Source organism: Homo sapiens, chromosome 5 (assembly GCF_000001405.40).
Source record: "Homo sapiens chromosome 5, GRCh38.p14 Primary Assembly".
Classification (NCBI taxonomy): Eukaryota; Metazoa; Chordata; class Mammalia; order Primates; family Hominidae; genus Homo; species Homo sapiens.
Genome location: NC_000005.10, coordinates 81088547 through 81106049, shown reverse-complemented (window position 1 = coordinate 81106049; position 17503 = coordinate 81088547). Strand labels below are relative to the sequence as shown.

The window sequence follows — 17503 nt, the reverse complement described above, 5'->3', positions numbered from 1 at the left end:
ATTGATTACACAGCATTGGGATTTTACTAAATGGCTGTCTTACATCTGCATTTATCAAGTACTTACTATGTGAAGACACTGGGCTAAGTACTGGGAAATGAGGATAAAGAGAAGAAAAGTAATATATGAAAGAGTTTGAAGATGAGTAAGGCAAGTCACTTCAAATTCACTTTACTAATCCTGATGGGGACAAAACAGATTAACATCATCCCTGTTCTTCCCAAGCTATGTGGCGGGGTCAGGGGGTGGGGTAATGAGGAAAAGGATTGGATGGGGAGAGGGGTTGCACACTGACAAGGGTAAGTGCTCCTTCACCCAGCGACCTTTCTAGCTACTCCTTAGACTTCTTTTCACTCTCAGTGTTTCTGAATCACACTGAGGAAGCCCCTTGGGTAACCAACACAGGAAGTGGGAAAGTAGACATGGTGTTTGGTGAGACCTGTGGGAAATGAACAATGTTCCTTCAATTTCCTTTAATATTCTAAGCAAATGGCATAGTTACTGAGACAACAGCCTTAGAATGACTGCACCATCAAGAACAGAGGTGAGGTAATGGGGAGACCACTTAAACTCAGCCCAGAGCTCCCACACAGCTCCAGAGACAACCACACTGTTTAAGTGGAGCCCAGACAAGGTGGGGACGGGCGCTGGAGGTGGCCAGAGTCACAGACCTGGGTCATAAAGAAGCATCTCTGTCTCGTCCTGGACAGGGGGTCAGAAGGCAGAGATTTAACCTGTTTCTTAGGGATTCATAGTCCAAACCCCTGGGGAATACAGGAATTGGGTCTGAAAATCCAGGAAATGCACCACTGGAGATGAGTTCAAAGGGCTTGTCATCCTACCTGCACTAACAGTCAGAGAATGGAAGGGCAGAGCTACCTGGCAGCCCATCAAAGCTACAGGATACCCACAATCAGGGTATCTTAAGATGCAGTTCTCTGGGGGCTGACTTTGTCCACTTCCCTCCTCTTAGAGACAAGAAGGGAAGCAGTTTTTGCTTTTTGAAAGAGGGAACCAAGAGGAAGGGGGTCTCAAGACCAATCTGCCCAGTTCACTTGTCCAGGAAACTCTGCAGGGTTCAAAGTAGGAGTAGGGAAGACAGTCAGCTTCCATAGTCCACAAGCCACGATGTGTAACCCAAGTGCCAAGGAGTGAGAGATGAGCCCACTCCAGGGAGCTGAAATAGAACTTTTTCTCCTGTTCCCAACATAAGAAGCAAGTGCTTTCCCCTCCTCCACCCTTCATCTATGGTGCCAATCCAGGGTTTAGCTGTGTGTCTCTTCTGTTTTCCAGGATCTGGAAAGGCTTTGTGGAGAAAAACAGAAGAGACACACTGAGACATTTTTGATCAGCTACAGTGTTACATATAAACAGCTTAGTCAGAATACTGCATAAAATTTGAGAGAGAAAATATAAAATATATCTGGCTTTTCATACCTAATATGAATACACATAGAGTACTACTTTGGATGGAACAATATTTAACTTGAAAAACCATGAAATTATATAAAAGAGAATTGGAAAGGGGAAATAATACACTGAAAATTATCACAAAAACGATGAAAAATGAAGAGTAAAGAATTTTATTACTATTAAGCTATTTATTTTTTAAATAAATTATTCATCTACGAAATAGGAAAGAAGAGGTCTTCATTTTTTCTCATCTCTCTCTCTTCACGAATATAGGACTTTATAGTTAGAAATTTAAGAGATACAGGCAAAAATGAATAGATATAGACTTTTATTTATCTTAATGTTTTTATTTTTTATTATGAAATAATTCAAATATACATAAAAGAATGAGCCATCCACATACCAGCCACTAGACTTAACTATTATTAACACTTTGCCATATTTTCTACAGATCATCATTTTTCTGTTAAGGATGTAAAACACTATAAACACAGTTAAATCCTCCTCTTTTTTTCCATTCCAATACTCTCTCTACTCTGGAAGTAATGACTATCTTGAAGCTGATGGGTATCCATTTGTCCTTCTTTCATTCCTCTTTTCTTATTTTACTATATATTTGTGTATCTGCCCATCATAAATTACAATATTATTTGCATTTAAATTTTTTATATAGATGCTTGTATTTTTCTCACACAACACTGCTTTTAAGATTTGTTCATATTTATATGCATAGTTCGTTCATTCATATTAACTGCTATATATCCCACTATATAAACATAAATTACAGTTTATTTAGTCAATCTCATATATGTATACATTTAAGAGGTTTTCATTTTCTGCTATAACAAAGATACAGTGACCATTACAAATTTCTCCTTGTGAAAAAGTTTTTTTCCTATCTTTTAATTTTTCAAAGGCAATCTGTCTTTTTACCTTTTGAGATTTTTCTTTTTGTGCTTTATATTCCATAGTTTTACCTCGACGTGTCTAGATGAGGTTTTTATCTGAGTTTATGCAGCTTGGAATTTGGTATGTTTCTTCAGTATGAGGATTCATATCTTTCATCCACTTTTAAAATTCCTACTCATTTTCTCTCTGGAGACTGCATCTTTTCTATTCCCTTGAATCTTTCTTTCTGCAATTCTCATTCCAGAAATGTATATTGGGCCTTCTAACTCTATTTTCCATCTGAATTTCTCATATTTGCCATCTCTTTAACCCTCTTTGCTGTATTTGAGGTAATTTCCTAGAATATAGAATCTATATTCTATAGGTATGTAGAATATATGCTATAGCTATATCTATATCTATCTATAGCTATATAGAATATAGCTATACCTATATTCTATACCTATATATAGGTATAGAACCACATACCTATATATATAACCTGGCTCTTAATCATCTCACTAGCTATGGTTGACTCACTGTCTTTAATGAATTTTCAGTGAATTTCTAATGAGTATGTAATGTTGTGGTCCTGTAGTTTCTAGTTTTAGATTTTTCTACGTGGTTCTTTGACAGGTCAGCCTGGATTTTTTGCATAGTGATCTCTTCTTTCCTTACGGTTTCTTTCTTTCTTTTATAGTTTTATTATACTTTAAGCCTTGTTATTTTATGGTCTTTTCCAAGTTGTCACCCTATTACTTCAGGTTCTTGTAGCGCTAATTCTACTGCTCTCCATGCCTGCTGAGTCTCACTCATGATACATAATTTACTCACAAGATTTGTAATTTTTAATTTGAGCACATGTCACGAGCCCCAGATTGTAGAAGTGTTGCTAATGGAGTGGCTTTGTGTTTCGGGCTGCAAGCATGCTTGGGATTTCAACACTCAAAAGTTATTTTTATAACAATTTCTCAGTTTGGCACTTTACACCATGTGAATAAGTCTGATTTCAAATATGTAGGCCACAGACACATTCTTTTTTTTTTTTTTTTGGGAGACAGAGTCTCACTCTGTCGCCGAGGCTGGAATGCAGTGGCATGATCTCGGCTCACTGCAACCTCCACATCCTGGGCTCAAGTGATTCTCCTGCCTCAGCCTCCTGAGTAGCTGGGACTACAGGCATGTGCCGCCACGCCTGGCTAATTTTCATACATTTAGTAGAGATGGGGTGTCATCATGTTGGCCAGGCTGGTCTCAAACTCCTGACCTCAAGTGATCCACCCGCCTTGGCCTCCCAAAGTGCTGGGATTACAGGCATGAGCCACCGTGTCTGGCCACATTCATTTTTAAAAAGAAGATTTTTAAAAATTCAGAACCCAAAACAAAGACAAACTTCTTTATTTCTTTCCTTGGGTCAATGGGTACAGTTTTTTAGGTTCTTTTTTCACAAAGAGAACACCCTTTCAATGCCCAGACTTTAAATAGAGAACTTGATTAATGGGCCTTAGGCCAACTCTTGCCCTCTTTATATGTTAATACTCCTAGGATGTGGAACTAATAGCTAGTCTAAAATCATTCCCAAGTCTGTAAGTCTTTAGCTTACAAGCTTTCTGCTATGGCTTTAAATTCCCTTGTTTCTGGCAACAAGAGATTTCCCTTCCTATCTATAAATATACCTACGCATTAAAATTTTTTAATTTTAATGATTTTATATGTTAAACATTTCTGTTTTTATAGCTAGAGGGGAACCTAAATCAGCTCAGTCCTCCATACTACCAGAATTGGAACTTGAGATAAACGTTTTAAACTCAAAAGAGGAGATTTATGTGACCATTTCTGCACATCTCATTATCCAGTGTCAAGTCTCATTCATAAATCTTTCTGAGTCATTGTCAAGCATCAAAATTATTTTAGGAATAAAAGGAAATTTTCACTTTCATTCAAGTTTCAGGAGAACAAAATATACATTCAATCCAAACCATACGTCAAAAGGCCATATAATGAAGTCATATTTTAAATTATATAAAAATGTCTTTGATAATTGGTACACAACCTTTAATCTATCCATGAGATGGATGGATGGATAGATGCATGGATGGAGAGAGAGAGAGACAGAGAGAAAGAAAGAGAGACAGAGAGAGATGATAGATAGATCGATCTTATTATGATACATTTATATAAAATAGGGGAATGGTTTTCAAAATGAGTTCCCATCCCCAGACTTTAGGGACATCCCCAGGCTTCACAAACAGGAGTGTGAAAAAAAAAAATGGCTCCTGGAGTCTCTAGGTCTACCAATTTTATTTCAACCAGAGAATTTTGCTTTTATCTTACTTCCATTTGGGACTTGGAGTAATGCTGCAATGAAGAAAGAGTTCTGTTCTAAAAAAAAAAGTTAAACTATAATAGAATTGGTATATGTGAGTGTGTACATGAACAGACTTACAGAGGAAGGTGTGGTAAATATTTATGGTTATGTAAGCATGTACCCTGGTTGTTGGGAAGAAGTGGTGCCTGTATACAGTTCACTTAGTTAAGAAGAAATATATTCAAATAAGCAGGGTTTCAGATATCTTTAATGTCATCTTGAATTTATATGAATTACAATAAACCTTGAAATTAACAGGATAACAAAATTAGATTCCTAGATCATAGATAGTCTAGTTCAGTTTGTAACGGCTGGGATGGGATCTGGGAGTACGTATGTTCACAAAAGCCCCAAGTGATTTTGAAGCAGCTGGTCTTTGGACAAGTGTTGCGAGTGACTTCTCCACCAAGAGTTTTTCAGGGTTTTACCTAAGGCAGTACCTATTTAAAGACCAGCGGTCTACTGTGTTGCCATATTTTCCACCTTCTTGATACTTCTAAGTACTGGGAAGAAAGGTTAGAGTCAATTTTTTTAATTCACCTTTTTATGTTAAAGTAGAAAATTCCCTCTTGATTTCCGAAAAACTATTTTTAGGGAGAAAGCATGTCCAGTGTGCTACAAATTTGTCTACACAGGTCTATATTTTGGGACATCTATCCAAACCAAGAAGCTCAGAGATAAATTTTAATTCTGCATTTTAGTTAATAGCCATAATTACAGTGGATCTGTTTAATAAACCATTATGTATGACACTGAGACAAGCACAAATGAATGTGCTTTATTGAAATAAATAGTCAAATCTTCAGCCTCAAATCGTTCCCTATAAATAGATGAAAAAGGGGAAGAATTATTGGTTGAGACCATTAGCCACTTGCACTTTTTGCTAGAGGCGCCAACAGTTAATTATGGCCTTACTGGTGTAACTAAGAGTGTGATTAATCATTCAAGCAATCGTTCCTTCTAAAAATTACAGCTTCAGAGAGAGAGAGACCTGGCAAAGCTAAAAGTCTTAAGTTTTGTAGAGTTTCTTATGGGAAACTGGGATTGTAGCAATACTCAGGAACCACTTTATCATCTTAAAAAAAGAGCTACCTATGATTAGTATAATACAATACAGTAGCTTAGCAAGGTGGCTTCAAATCAAGCCAGAAAAAGTAAGATTTAGAAAAATAGTGGCCGGGCGCGGTGGCTCACGCCTGTAATCCCAGCACTTTGGAAGGCCGAGGCGGGTGGATCACGAGGTCAGGAGATTGAGACCATCCTGGCTAACACGGTGAAACCTCGTCTCTACTAAACATGCAAAAAATTAGCTGGGCATGCTGGTGGGTGCCTGTAGTGCCAGCTACTCGGGAGGCTGACGCAGGAGAATGGCGTGAACCCGGGAGGCGGAGCTTGCAGTGAGCCGAGATCATGCCACTGCACTCCAGCCTGGGCGACAGGGCGAGACTCTGTCTCAAAAAAAAAAAAAAAAAAGAAAAAAGAAAAATAGTGACAAAAATTAAAACGACAAAATAATGGAGAACATATTCATAATCTAAATAGAAAATGTTCACATCCCTAGTCTATAAGGGTAGTGCCAGTGAATTACTGTCTACCTAGTATAAAAAGACAAACAGAAATAGTAGAAAATGTTAATCTCATTGATAATTACAGAAATGTAAATTAAAACCACTAGAAGGCAAAAACACTTTTCCATGAAATAGAAAAATGTGATAAATGTGACAAATTTAACATTGGCAAGACTTAGAAGAGAGTTACATAGATACCTTGTTGATGATGTAGTGAAATTATAACTTACATATTTCTTGAAGGAATTGTGGCAGTCTGTCACACTAGGAATCATGAAATAAGGAGAGTGATCAGGCTTTTTACACCAGCCTTATACTCTAACTATACACCAACAAGGGACTTTAAAAGAAGGGGAAAACTCCCGCATGAAGATGTTTAGCACCTCATTATATATTAATCCTCAAACTTGGAAACAGCTCATACACTCAACGCTCAATTATTCAGAAAAAGCTATAAAAGCAGTAAATTGATGCAGCTGAATATATTTAATATAATGCAGCTGAATAATAGATAGCCAATATGAATATGAAGAGTTTATAGGAATATAGAAAGAAGTAAATGAGGTAAAAAGCAAACATGATGTATGTATACACTGAGAGGCAAACTGTACAATTATTTCTATATGGCAAGATTGTGGAGACTTTAGAGATGGAAACAGTTCACTCTTCAGGACAGAGGTTCTTTAATTGTGCAGAAGTGATCTATGGAGCTTATGGAGTTTAGAATGGCATCTGGAATGTGGGTTAAGGAATCTGCATTTAAAAACAGTCCTCACGTAATTCTAATGTAGGTTATCTGTGGAAGGTATTTTGATAAACATTTTAGTGTGTTGGGTGTTGGGAATATTTCTAGTTCATTTGTGTGTCCATATTTTCACATATACACAATAAAATATTAAATAGTACATTTCAAGCATTCAGTAAGCTTATCTTATTAATAATGGATATGTCCAGAGATACACTTGAGAGACTAATTCCATGAATGGATACGAAATCTCTCCTATAAAAGGAAAATGCTTGAAGCAGAGAACAAAGCCAGCTGAGATACAGGCTTCTGGGCAGCAGGCTAGGCTCAGTCAAGAGCACAGCACTCTGTCCCTACCACCTACCCACCCACCATTCAAACTCCACAGCAGCAAAATCACTAAGTATACTAGAACAATCACTACTTCACTCAGCCTTTGGCAGCAGTTGACATGTGACCACTCCCTCCTCCTTGACACGTTTTCTTCACTCAGCTGCTAAGACACCATGTCCTCTTGGCTGTTCTCCGGTTGCACTGGTGGTTCCTTCTTGGTCCTCTTCACTATTCTCCCTGACTTGACCCCTCTCTCAGTCTGCAGCCCTCTTACTTCTACCTATGCATATTCCCTTGGCGATCTCAACAGTCTCACAGCCTTAAATACCACCCAAATGATGCAGTATCTCCTACCCGGATCTCTCTCTAAATGCTGGACTTCTATATCCCACTGCTTATTTATCAACTCCACTCAAATGTCTAGCAGACTTCTGAGACTCAATATATTCAAAAGTAAATTTCTGCTTTTCACCCCCAAATCTCTTTTCCCAGCAGATATCTCCATCTCAGGTAATGACAACTCCATCCTTCCAGTTGCTCAGGCCAAAACCTCTGAGGTCATCCTTCACCCTTTTACTCTCACATCTCAGCTCTAATCCACAATCAAACTCTGCTGGTTCTACCTTCAAAATGAATCCAGGCTCAGATCCCTAATCTCCAACTCCACTCCTGCCATGCTGGCCTAGGCTCTCAACATCTCTCGCCTGGACTATTGCAGCAGCCTGCTCACTCATCTCCCTGCTTCCACTCTCACCCTCTGCCCTCAGCCCATCCTCAACACAGCAGCCACAGCAATCCTTTCGAAACCTAAGACAGTTCATGGCATTCCTTTGCTGAAATCCTTTAATAGCTTTCATCTGACTGAGTATAAGCCAAAGCCCCTTTCATTGGCTTAGAAAGGCATTCTTGATCTGGCCCCTGTTACCTCATTGACTTTCTTTTTTTTTCTATTCTCCCTCTCGCATACCCTACTCCAGCCACACTGCCTTTCATGGTATTCCTTGAAACATGCAGCATCCTCCTACTTTACAGTCTTTGCAATTGCTGTTCCCTCTCACATGGCATCACATATTCACACGGTATCTCCATCACCTACTACAGCCTTTGTTTAAAAGTCTCCTTCAGAATGAGGTGACCACCATTTAAAAACTCTACCAACCCACCCACCTTCAGCAGCCCAATCCTTCTTACCTTGCCCTATTACCTTCTAATATAAAATAGTATATGCTTAGTTATTACCCTTATCATTTATTTTTGGTCTTCCCCAAATTAGAATGGAAGTTACAAAAGGTTAAGAAAATTTTGTTGTTGTTGTCTCTTTTCTTCATGATATGTCACAAATCTCTAGAACAGTGCCAGGCATATATCACTGCATAAATATATTTGTTGAATGAATAAAACCACAAATGTCAAAGCCACAAAATGCCATAGTCATTTTGTGTGATGGTATCCCCATCACTAAAAAAGATAACTTGGCCGAGTGCAGTGGCTCACGCGTGTAATCCCAGCACTTTGGGAGGCCGAGGCGGGAGGATCACCTGAGGTCAGAAGTTTGAGACCACCCTGGCCAACATGGTGAGACCCCATCTCTCCTAAAAATACAAAATTAGCTGGGTGTGATGGTGCACACCTGTAATCCCAGCTACTCGGGAAGCTGAGGCAGGAGAATCACTTGAATCTGGGAGGTGGAGGTTGCAGTGAGCTGAGATCGCACCACTGCACTCCAGCCTGGGCGACAGAGCGAGACTCCATCTCAAAAAAAAAACACAAACAAACAAACAAAAAAAACAGAAAAAACAGATACAACTTTTGGTTAGCCTCCTTCCACTGAAGATATAATCTAGTACAATTTTTTTTTGCTAAGCAGCATAATACCCATAGCATCTTGGAGAAATAAGGAGGAAGTTGTATATTTCTTTCTACCTTAACATCTAGTATAAGCAGAGGGAAAGACTCACTTAGACCTTTGCTAGTGACAGGCAAAGCATTGGGTGCCTTTCTTTAAAGGACCAGGCACAGAATTATTCACGCACTCCAAGGGTCTTTCTCTCTTAACAATGTCTCCCCAGTCATGCTAAAGAAGGTCACCTGAGCTTTTATCAAGTCTGTATCTTAGGAGCCCTAATTATATCATAAGGTAGAAGGTAGAAGCAGGTGGAAAAACACCTTTGCCTACTCCTATTCTCCCCATTCTTCCTACATATCTTGGCTTCACAACACGCACACAATTTTTTGCATTTAGCTGTTTACTTCCTTTTGCTCCCTATGAGCCTGCCTATTCTCCCTGAGAGCAAGAACCATGGTCGTATTCCTGGTACCTGCACAATACCTGACAGCACATGGTGATTCCTCAATAAATGTTCAAAGAGTCAATGAATGATCCAGAGTTTCATAAAGTAAGAGATGTGTTACAAATAGGGAGAGACTTAATATGCTATTAATTGATATAGCATAGAGCTAATGAACGTATGAATAAATCACCACAAGGATGCAAGTCCACAAAAATGGAAGATCCCATATTTTCATTTCCTTGTCAGGCAGAAAAGAAATGGCTTCTTTTCTAGCTATTTATTTGCCATTGAAGCCATCCTGAGGGTATATAAGTAAAAGTCCAGCATAAGGCACTCTTGTAGAGGATGTTTAGAGCGCTAAACAGAAAAAAAGACCCAAATTAGGTTCACATTCTGACTCAATGCAGCTGAGCAGCTTTTGACAAATGCTTAACTTTGCAGACCTCAGTTTTCTCACCTGTGAAATGGGACTAATTTCTCTCTGCTTACCTTCAGAATACTATTGTAAGAGTCAAATGAGATTAAGTCTGTAAAACTTCTTTGACAAATAAAAATGATTACTATTGACATTCATTTTCTATTTCACCTCAATTTTCAGTCACTCAAAAAAAGAATTAAGTTCCAAATAACTATGATAGAATTCATGTTTCCACTTGTCTTATATATAAATTACTATAAGCTCTTCCAAAAAAAAGCATGAAAACTACAATATATACCTTTTTCATGTGCCCCAGTTTCTTTGAGTTAACAACTTTGAAAATAATTATCAAGTCCTTAAAAAATATTTTTCTTACATAGCAACACTTTTCCCCTACAGAGCCAAAATTCATATGGAGCTTGAATAAGAATGTCCAAGTCCAATCATGACTAGTTTTGACATATTCTAAATCATATTATTTCCTAAATAAATGGAGCAATTCCCCAACTGGCGCTGCTGATCAAGGAAAGGTAAAAATTCTGTCCCTAATTTTTTAATATACGAAATACAGGAGCTTATTTTCAGGTTTCATACTAGAGACGGTGTCTCTTTTGATTCTTTAATTCATGATTTCCTGCCATAGCCCTATGTTGGCTGTTTTTGTATCTTTCACCATTATTCTGCTTCAGAAACAAATAAGCAAAATATGGAGTGGAGTCATTAGAGAATTTATTACTAACAGGGCAATCTCAATACTGTTCAACACAAATGATTACATTTGCTGCTGGTGTAAAATGCCCAGGAACTAAAATCCAATTACTACATTTCAGGCAAATTTTAACCTTAAGAAGAGAAACAACAACAACAAAAATGATAATGATCACAGCTTATCAAGATACATAGTGATTATGGCAGTGACCATAGCAACTGAGTGTAATTTTTTAATAAAGATAAAAAACCTCTAAAAACTATCTCCAAAAGTTTGAGTTGTGAAATTTAAAAAACAAAAATTTGGCAAAAGCCACTTTCTTACCTGACTGATGTCACTCATCCAGGCAGCTTTCTCCTGGCGTGAGGGTGCTAACAAGACAACAGTGAAGGCGGCAGCGTCAGGAGGCTCCACCACTATTTTAAAATCCAGGTGCCCAAACACTTGCCCAGAACCTTTAGCTTGAACACATGTAAAGCAAACAATTAGATGAGAATACAAAAAAACAAAGAGTGATAGCTGCCTTCACATTATTCTATTTATACAATCCATTTGCACTCAAATCGGGACTCTCATTTCAGCAATATCGTACTTCTCAGGCATGAAGAGGGCTTTATTAAGCTCATAAGCAGATGAAGAAGCTGAGGTCAGTAGGTTACTTGAGACTAGAATCCTGGTTTCCTTCTGATTTCATAGTTTTTTTTAAAAAAAATTCCCATGATTTATAGAATTCCAACACTCTAATTCAACTCTTCCTTCTTCTCTATCTGCCACTGAATAGTCACTATCACAAAACAAATTCAGTAAAATGTGAATTCCCAAAGATGGTTTAACAAGGCTCATGGGCTAAATGGTTCAATTTTTCATACATAAATGACTTTAGGGAGTTTATCCTCAGCCTCTCTCTCCCGCCTCTAATTCTAATAGAATCCTAAGTGATCGAAGGTGACTTACAGTCATCATCGCTTGCATCTGGCTCCTCAATCAATGTGCAGTCTATTAGAGACAGAACCCCACCTGTCTGGAAACAAACCAATTTTTCACTAAGACGCTGAAGGTCTTGTGTAGATTGGGAAGCTCTGATTTGTAAACACTATATTCAAGTTGCCATGGAAGAAAGCATAGCAATTCTGCATCATAAATAATTTTTCATAGAGCCCAAAATTAAACTTAGATGTGCAAAAGGAAGTGAACTCATTTAACTTCAGTAAAATCCTTCCCTTTCAACCCACTCTCACTCAGTTGTTTATAAAATTTAGCAAGTCGGCTGATGGGAGACTTAGATGGTACCACAGTGGCTTTAGAGAGTAATGCACCTTAGCAAAGGGCTGAACTCACCAACCAGGAAGTGGCTTAAGCAGTAGAAAGCTGTCATCATGGTGTTGAATAATATTTATAAGCAATAATAAAAAAGTTTGCCTATCTAGGCAAACTTTTTCCATAAAGGGTCAGATAGTAAGTATTTTAGGCTCTGCAAGTCATATGATCTCTGTCACAACTACTCAGATCTGCCACTTTAGCATAAAAGCAGCCACAGACACAAAGACATGCGCATGGCTGTGTTCCAATAAAACTTTATTAACAGGCCAGGCACAGTGGCTCACACTTGTACACCAGGCACAGTGGCTCACACTAGCACTTTGGGAGGCCAAGGCAGGAGGATCACTTGATGCCAGGAGTTCAAGACCAGCCTGAGTAACATAGCAAGACATTGTCTCTACTAAAAATTTTTTAAAGATTAGATGGGCATGGCAGTGCATGTCTGTAGTCCCAGCAGCTTGGGAAGCTGAGGCAGGAGGACTGCTTGAGTCTAGGAGTTCGAGGTTGCAGTGAGCTATGATCACGCTGCTGTACTCCAGCCTGGGCAACAGAGTGAGATCCTATCTCAACAAAAAAAACACAAAACAAAAAATTTTATTAACAAAAACAGGCTCTAAGCCATGGGCCATAGTTTGCTGACTCCTAGTACAGAGAAAGATAAAATAGGATTTAGCAAATATTGCATTGGTACATTGTAGTGATTTGAGAAGATTTTTGTAGCTCAGTAGTTGTCAACTAGTATATAACTTTGTATATGATTATACAGATACAGTACAGTATATAATTTTGTCCAGGTTACGATTTTAATTGTATTTCTTTATGGTGATGCATACTTAAAATACATTTCTGTTACTTTGAATTTAAATGACAACGAATTAAATGGCAGAGTTGGTAACAGTACATTACCTCACTCATTATGCAATCATGACAATCTGTTTTATGATAATACCAAGCATGGGAAAGTCTCAAATGAGTTAACTTCAATAACTTGTAAGTGCTTGGAAGATAAATGGAACAGTTATGGAAAACCAGTACCTTGAGCAGATGAAGCTTCCCTCCTGAACTTCTTGTACATATTAAAAAGTGTTTTGTAAATAAGAAGCATTGTCTCTCTCCTTCCTTTTTCAAAGACAACGAACCCAGGCGAACTTTACTAAGTTTCCCCCTCTCAACGGAAGGTACTTGAATAAGAGAACCTGGTGATTACAAAAATGAAGAATACACAGCAATTAAAATTCTGTCAAGTGAGGACCATGTCCACGGCAATAAACACTAAGGTCTGTTTCCCAAAATACCAGGGATTGATTTATGTGACACATCATCAGAACAAGTAACTCTCTTCCAGTCTGAGCAGAAGAAACAATGCATTGTATTTTAAGGGCTGAACTGTTCCTAATATTTTTGTGAAACACTTTAGACTTGATTCTTCATCTATAAACTGGAAAATAAGTTTGAAAGATGGCAAAATTGAATTCAAAGAATGAAGCACTTCTGCCATCTGTCCTTAGTGATCTGATCCAATCAATTTATGTATTTAATAATAACATACATATTGCATAATTATATAGAATAATATGATAACAAAAAGCAAATGCAATGTATTCTTCCTGAAGCACAGAATGTAGATAAATAGCATATTAATACAGTTTACCTTGTATTTTAAAAATAGAATGTACAATACATGTATATTATAAAAATATATAAATTATATAATTCAGTGAAATTTAGCTAAGAACTATTTTTAAAGGACACCTATTTCAAGTTACATTTAAATTATGTGAGATAAAAATTATTTGTGGAATCTAAACAGAAAATAATCCACATAAAATCTATACCCAGTATACTCCTAGGAGCAAAACTACCTTCCATTTAATGTGGGAAGCTATACACAGACTTTATAATACCAACATTACCTTTGATTATTTCTAGATTTCACCCTCATAGCAACCTCCCCCTACCCCAAAAATAAAATTCCAATCTAAGTTAAATATCAAACCAAAAAGTACTAACAAAGATTCTTGCCAACCTCTTGATTCTGACTTCTGAAGTGCCCTGAGATAGTCAAATTTCTTACATTTATTTAACCTACCACCTACCCCAAATGCAGCCTTCTGCAGGCTCATATTACCCTCAGAAGAATCATTAAGTGCATATCCAACCCTTGAACATTAACAACAGTCATCACTAAGAGATGAGATTGTAGACAACCTTATTTTCCTCTTCATACATTTTTCTAGCTTCTTGATTTTTTTAATGAGCACAAACTACTTCAATAAGCAGAAAAAGACCACTAAAGTTCTCCATATAAATAATATATATATGTAAGTTGGTAAAACTATGATTGTGAGTCACAAAATGTTCATATTAACATATGAATGTTGCAAATTGCATCTACTTTTTAACAGAAATTGAAAGGTGTACAGGGTGGCAAGAGACCCAAGTTTCCACGCCTGGATCTCACACTGTCTATTTTGGTGAGTGCTGCAGTGGGATGCTTGACAGACACAGAGTAGGCAGCTATTCTGGGCCTAAAGAATAGCAAGGAAGAAGTCCTGGGTGAGGGTGTGGGATTGGGGAACAATGGGCCAGGAGACGGCTTGACTCCCACGAAGGGATGGGCAAGAGGAGAGTGAATGAAGGAGGTGAGGTGGGTGGGAGCAAACTGGCTGGCAGCCCAGGCAGCAAGGAATGACATAGAGTACTGGAGGCAGGGGAAAGCAGGAGGCAGAAGTTAGGGAAGTCTATGAGCAAGTCATAGCAGCAGAAGGATGGGCTCATAGGGCTCAGGATGCAATCAAAGCCAGAGGCCTTGCAGAGGACATGGTTTAATGCCTCCCATTTCACAGATGGGGAAACTGAGGTCTGAGGCCAAGTAGCTCGCCTAAGGTCATGCCTAAGTGAGAAGGGAGTGATGTAGCCAGGGGATTCAGCCACATAAAATATAAGACTCAGAAAGAAGACAGATGGGAAGAGAGTAAGTTCTAGCTCTGCCATGGGGGCCATGAGCCATCAGGCCCATGACTTAGGGCTGAGTGAAAGACTGAGGCTTGGACAAATAATCTTGGTGGACAAATAGCTCTGGGAGTCATTTTCAGAAAGGCTATAAGCAAGCTGTGAAAACTCAATAATAATGTGTTCGTTAGTAAATGCTTCTAGCAATTTAGTGATTTTCTATGTCAGAAATTATAGAATACATAAAAATAAATACAATTTAGAAAGAAATTACAGAATACGCTGTTAGCTCATATATTAGCAATTACTGTGAATTTCAGCTGTGAGACAAAAAAAATAAATGTTTCCTTGGCAACCATACACTAATATGCTTAATCTATAATTGTTTACCTTATATCCAAGTAGAAGGGAGACATAGGAGACTGTGTACATTAGGTACATACAGAAATGTATACATCTGAATTAAAAGTGAGAAATTGCAACACTATGGTTTGTGAAATAATCATATTTGGAAAAAGCATTTTAAGAGGATTTTTTCACATTTTCTCTTGCATTTGACATGATGTTTCAATACAGCTATGAGATATGAAGAAAGGATTCCTCGCTAGCTAATACAAATTAGAGAAATACTTAGTATTCATTTAGTAATTCATCAGATCATTGCTATAGCATGATTCTTTGCATCCTGGTCATCGGTCTCTCTAATAATTGGGGTCAACTTCCAACAAAATTTCTGTTAATTCAATCACTTCATTCCCACAGAATGGCATTCAAGACTATGCCCCTTATTCTTAATTCTACTGAGTAATGAAAAAGAATGAAGAACCATTTCCAGCTTATTGGGTTAGGCATTTGAGAAGATATAACTGTCTCTAGACCCAAAGTTAAAATTTCAGAGAACACTGGTACATTGAAAGCGCATGACTTAGAGTCTAGGAATGATTAAAATACCAGAAAGGTCCATGTCTTATTCTCAAGGCACTTAGTCCTGTATTCAGTCACCTATATTTCATTTTCCTGACTTACATTTCCACAAAACACTGTTCACAATGCATAATAGATTTTGTACAAAATGTCAGCTTAGAGTGCCTTTATCTTCTACTAAATATTCATACATATTTCATGTTATTGAAAATAGGAAGTCATTCCAAAATTTGGATCTTGGCTTTTAAAGTTTATCATAATCTTGCAGGTACTAGTCTAGGTGCTTTTGTGAGCATTAGCTCATTTTTACAACAATCCTAAAAGATAGCTACTACTATTAACTCCAATTTAAGGAGAAGAAACTGAGGCATAGAGAAGTTAAGTAAATTGCCCAATATCACACAGCAAGGAAGTAGGGGAGACAGGATTTGACCTCCAGTGATGCAGCTAGACTGTTTTCCTATCATTGCCTCAGACACTCACACATTTATTCAACAAACTATTAATAGATTTTAGAAAACAATGATAATATCAGACCATTTCTATAATATAGTCTTCTGTATCCTATCCAACAGACTAATAATGGGAAACCATTTACAATAAAACTTTCATTATTTCAATCACTAAATCCTCATCAAAAAACATTCAAGAGTTGCTGATGCCTTTATTCTGAGGTGATCTTTCAGATGATCTGGATGACGTATTTTTCTAGTTCTTATGAATAAAAATTCACATAAGGTGGAAACTACATGCACACATGCACGCATGCACACACACACACACGCACATAGAAATAGACCACATATCATCCCTAAAAGTAATTAACACAAATATTAGTACACCTTTAGAGATAAATTGTAGACCATTTCATAGAAAATAAGAATCCCTCTAAATTTTTTTAAAATAATAATTTTTGAAAACGCCTCAATGGGTCTTAAAGTCGTTAAGGGTGCTATGTAAAAGTGATAATAGGAGTAACCAAAGCAAAACAATGCAAACTTTCCAAATTGTCTGTGATTGTATTACTTCCTAATTTCAGATTGAGGTCTGAATTTTAGAAACCAACTTTACTGTATAACTCTTAAACAACTAACCAAACCACACATGCAGAAAAATACTGCTAAAAGGCAAATCATTATATTGACATCAACATGATAATAATATCAGAAATATTCATAGCTGACAGAAGTGCCTTAAACATGTGGTACATAACAAGGAATTAATAACATATGGGCATGAATAAAGGGAGAAATTGTTCATGATTGTTTTCTCTCCAATTGCAGTGAAAAAAAATGACATTCAGTATTTGACCTTCCAGCATTTTTCATTATTGAATGTTTTTTCAAGCTCAGACCTAAAAAAGTTTACGTTTTTTAGCAATATAGTATGTTTGTGGGTTATAATACTTCCCAATCAAAAATCCTTTAAGAAATTGTACATTATAGAAACTTTCGTCTCCATTCTCACATACTATCAAGCACAAGTCAATTAGTAGACATTTTCAGGAAACTCCAATACAAGAAAAATACAACATAAAACACTTTACAGTCATAATTGCAATTCAGTAAATAATT

General features: G+C 37.3%; 1 protein-coding gene across 7 annotated transcripts in view; it reads right to left on the bottom strand.

Moving 5' to 3' along the window:
* RASGRF2 (Ras protein specific guanine nucleotide releasing factor 2) overlaps positions 1–17503 on the bottom strand; it is a 269800-nt gene that overhangs the window by 124113 nt on the left and 128184 nt on the right. For all 7 annotated transcript variants that reach the window (NM_006909.3, XM_005248565.2, XM_017009683.2 and 4 more), the window contains 3 exons: positions 13089–13249; positions 11688–11754; positions 11058–11194 (listed from right to left, as the gene is read on the bottom strand). In NM_006909.3, coding sequence (NP_008840.1) covers positions 11058–11194; positions 11688–11754; positions 13089–13249 — 365 coding nt within the window. The remainder of the gene's footprint in view (positions 1–11057; positions 11195–11687; positions 11755–13088; positions 13250–17503) is intronic.